The sequence below is a fragment of the Homo sapiens genome, chromosome 12 (genome assembly GCF_000001405.40).
Source record: "Homo sapiens chromosome 12, GRCh38.p14 Primary Assembly".
Taxonomy (NCBI): domain Eukaryota; kingdom Metazoa; phylum Chordata; class Mammalia; order Primates; family Hominidae; genus Homo; species Homo sapiens.
Genome location: NC_000012.12, coordinates 98,220,530 through 98,225,130, shown reverse-complemented (window position 1 = coordinate 98,225,130; position 4,601 = coordinate 98,220,530). Strand labels below are relative to the sequence as shown.

Genomic DNA, 4,601 nt, shown 5'->3' with positions numbered 1-4,601 from the left:
TGTATTAGTGTGTGTTGAGGCCAGCCCTACATTTGGAGTAAAGGGTGAAAAAAACGTTAGTCATTGAATTTTCAGTGATAGTAGACCAGAGAACAATAACTTTGCATTTTGACCATTTTCACACATGTAGTTTTCACTTTCGGTTGCATTCATTTTAGTTTATTGTTTCAATTTTTCATGTTGGACAATTTTGACAGTTGAGAAGGCAGTGACTCTGGGGACCAGCTGTGTGAGCTTTAAAATATGAAAAGGGGGAAGGGATGACTGCATGATGACAGAGAGCAGAATGAGAGTAGTGGGGCCAATGTGGGAGGGTATAAGAGGAGACAGAAAGGCAGAGGAGACGACAGCATGAGGAAAAATGCCAAGTATGGAAATAGATGTCACTTCTTCCAGGGCCTGGCCAAAGCTCATATGATACTCTGTTATAGCCTTTCTGCAGCAACAATGCTCATTCAACATTGATTTATGGTGTTTGGGTTTACATAGCCCTGGCCACATACTGCAGAAAAGCAGATCACATGGAGGGTGGGTAGGGGAGAAAAATGTTTTAAGGTGCAACCCCTCTCTTGGCTATTTCCTGATTCTCTCTTGGGGCTGCTTTGTGAAGTGAGGTGGCAGAGGTAGTCTTTTTGTGCTGAGTGGTAGTAGGTGGAATGGGAGACGCATAGACTTTGGAGCCAAACAGACCCAGGTTGGAGTTCCAGTTCTGCCACTCACTGGCTGTGCCACTTAGGCCAAGTGGCTTCACTTCCCTGACTCTTCAGTTCGAAATCTGTAAAATGGAGATAATAATAAACATCTTGTAGGACATCAGTAACTATTAGCATTGACTTATTGCTGTGGTGGTTAATTTTATGTGTCGACTTCTTCACTGAACCACAGGGTGTCCAGATATCTGATTAAACCTTACTCTGGGTGTTTCCAGAAGAGATTAACATTGGAATTGGTAGACTGAGTAAAGCAGATCGTCTTCTCCAATGTGGGTGGGCATTGTCGAATCTGTTGAAGGCCTCAAGAGAACAAAAAGGCAGAGGAAGGGAGAATTTGCTTTTTTCTGCCTGACTGTTAGAGATGGGGCATCAGTCATCTCCCTGTCTGGGACCAGGATTTATACCAATAGTGCTCCTGGTTCTCAGGCCTTCAGACTCATACTGGAACTACATCACTGGCTTTTCTGGGTCTCTAGTTTACAGATGGCTGATTGTGGGGCTTTTCATCCTCCATAATGGAGAATGAACTCTTCATAAAGGAATTGAGCATGAGTCAATTCCTTATAATAAATCCCTTTAAACACACACACACACACACACACACACACACACATACACATTCCAATGGTTCTGTTTCTCTGGAGGACCTTGATTAATACACTTACTAATCTATGAAAATGGCAAATAATCAGTAAACAGCAGCCATTTTTAAGATAAGGAGTCCTATAAAATAGAAGCAAAGGTAATTTAGTTTTACCTGAGCTGACTCTAATTATGGGTGTATGTGAGTTGACAAAATTTATGATCACCTATTTTTACATATCCTTGTGTAGGTGTATTTTGACAGTAAATTCCTTTCAACGAGGATCGATAGAGTACCTACACTGTTACAAGCACAGTGCATATAAACAATGGTAAAACAGAGGCTCATGCATTCTAACAGCCACAAATAAGCAAAGGAAACAGATTTGCATATAACCAACTGACCCAACCAACCGACCATCCAACCAACCAACCAACCAACCAACTAGCCAACAATAAGACAAATGTTAAGTTGGTTGGTTTGAATAAAAGACTAGGCAAGCTTGAAAATGGAGGTGATTAACTTTGTCTGTGTAAGTAGGGAGGACGTGAAGAGTAAAAATTTACTAGGGTTGAAGGAGGGTGGGTTATCTATTCAGAGATTCCAGGTTCAATTAAGACTTGGAGGACTAACTTGACGTAGTTTACGTGGAGGAGTGGCCAGTAGACTGGTGTGGTGGGATTGCTGGGCACTTGGGAAGGAGTACTGGGAAGTAAGGTTAGAGAGACAAATTGGGGCCAGAGTCTGAAGAGAAAGACAATGGGTTGCAAAGGTGGTGAATGAATGCAGAGTTGGAAAATATCCCCCAAAGGACAGGACTGCTGGAGAGAATTAGAGGAAGATTTAATAGTATTCAAATTCATGAGACTAGTTGTTATTCATCTTAGTACAAGATAGAAGGAAAGGAAAAGTTCAGCCTGAGAAAGTATATAACACTAGGAATTATATCCCGACTGTGAGGCTGGGCATCCCAGTGTTTTCTGGAGAAGAGTGGGTAGAGGATTCCCTGAGAGCAAGCTTGTGAAATACAAGGGGTCCAAAGTTTCCCAGGTACGTTGCCATCCCTGAAACACCTTAGACAGGTTTAACTACACTTGTTTTGCTGGGACTTCAGTGGCATGGATCAGGAAGAAAGGGGAAGCAGCTGAACCCAGTATGACAGGGGCTGCAGAAATGCTCTGATCATTAGCTAGTCCAGGGCACATGAACTGGGCCACCATGAAGGCATTTAGAGGAAGGGGACTGCCCAGTGAATGAGTGCCCAGCTTATACCAGGTGCACCATCCTCAGAGGCTAAGGCAGTTTGTTCAATTCCAGACAGTCCCCTGACTGGGAAGTCAATGTCCCTAATGATTTCCTTCTTTCGGTCTGGAATGATTCAGAACTGGGTTAGATTGAGCCTTTCTTTTTGGCAGACAGTCAGCAGTCATCTTCTTTCCCCTTTTTAAAATGCCTGTAGAATAGGAATACTGTTATGGAAATTAGTTAGCAGCTGCTCTACACGAATGTTTAGAAAATTAATATTACTCACATTATACAGTATGGAAGCAGAATTTTAATGAAGCACAGAAACTACAGGCACATTGACCCTTTCCCCTTATCAGAGAAATCTCAGAATGCCTCACTTTCCTTGAGAAAACTTCTCATTTCCACTAGGCTTCTATAGGCTTATTAGTGACAAAAATAGCACATTCACAACCCAAAGGAGCAAATATTTCAGAACATATTGTACTAAAATATGACAGTGTCAGCTAAACCATTATCTATACTTATTTCTCATTATTAATTCTTAACAGTTAGCTGTTCTTTGTTGCATGGTAACCGGATTTGCCATACTATAAAAAATGCTTTAAAGTCCTAAGTGTCAGACTTTGTTCGCACTAATTCTGTTAGAGATGATTGTTATTTGCGCTACAGACTGCTGGGGATGTGGCCTGCATTGAGTAAGAATATGGGATAGGAGGGAATTGGGGTGAAGGTGGGATGTCATAGGGAAGGAGAAAATAACCCACGAGTCAACTCAGAAAAGCCCGTCTTTGCAAAGTCGAACCTAGAACCACCTACCAAGGTCAATACATGTGGCCTCAGTCAATACTGAAAGACCAGAGGGATTTAGTTAATGGGGTCAGGAATGTTATCTGAGGTGTGTGAGACCCCTGGAGAAAGGCTGCAGAAGGAAATTTGAGTGAAGAAGGCAGAGAACAATTAGGGTTGAGGGATAAAAGGAATCCGGCTTGCAGGGGGTCTTCAGCTGGCATGATGAAAAGGAACACGCAGCATGAGTCAGGAGCAGCCCTGGGACATGTTCCAAAGGTGAAAGAACATCTCAATCAAAGGAAGCTCAAGAAGGAAAAAGAACGGCAAACTTCTCCAACAGGTTGTCTGCATTCTAAGTGATTTATGATTTCAACCCATGCAAAAATGTGATGTTCTCTGGTGCCAGGGAACAGCAAGGGTGTTCTTGCCAAAGAAAAGCATTGTTAATGTTCAGGGAGGTGTAGAAGTGGTGATTGGGGGGTGGGGGGCGGGCGGCGGAGGGGGAAGAACCAGAGCAGTGGATCAAGAGCTGGGAATTACATGGAGAAAGAGGTTTATTTGCATTTTGTGGAGAAGTTTGCTTTACACAAATGTGCTATATGTAGTGTCCTGTATTCATTATTCAAATATACTACTATCCACCTTGGGAAGAAAGCGTGTGTGTGTGTGTGTGTGTGTGTGTGTGTGTGTGTGTGCGTGTGCATGTATGCATGTGCCCAGATATCTGATGCTGGGTGTGGGTAGGAGGCTGCCAATCTTTGTCCTCACCACCACTGAAATTTACTGAGCATTCACTGGATATAGACACTGGGTGTTGATCCTGAATCTGGTGCTTGTTACTTGTTACAAGTGATACTTGTTAACTACAGTATGACACTGAAAAATCCACAGTGGTGTGCTGGTGCCAGCTCATACCAGCTTGCAACCTGACATCAGGTTGGTAGGTTGAAACCTGCCATGGTAGGAATGTTAATGCCACAGAAATTGGCAAATGTTGCAAACAAGGCTTTCCTTGTCTCTGCACCTCTATCCAAAGAGCTGGGTGGTAAACATTTACCAGCACGTCGCTGGGTTTTTGCCTTTCAGATGCAGAGGAAATAGTGAAAGGAAACAGCTTCCTTCAGAGACAAGTATAGCTACTCCCAACTCCTTGCCTGTTCTTCCACATTAATCCGCTGTTCGAGAGTGGCAGTTGGTTCACCATGGAAAGAATATGAGCACTGCCATCAATAGACCTGCACTGGAATCCCCACTCAGCCATGTGTTTG

At 43.1% G+C, this 4,601-nt stretch overlaps 1 annotated feature.

Moving 5' to 3' along the window:
- Positions 2,714 to 2,883: an enhancer, noted in NCBI's record as "experimental_31286 CRE fragment used in MPRA reporter constructs". NCBI's record gives its function as "activates a minimal promoter by MPRAs in K562 erythroleukemia cells, with activity observed for both the introgressed and non-introgressed 12:98616111 variant alleles {active_cell/tissue: K562}" and the evidence as "EXISTENCE:reporter gene assay evidence [ECO:0000049][PMID:34662402]".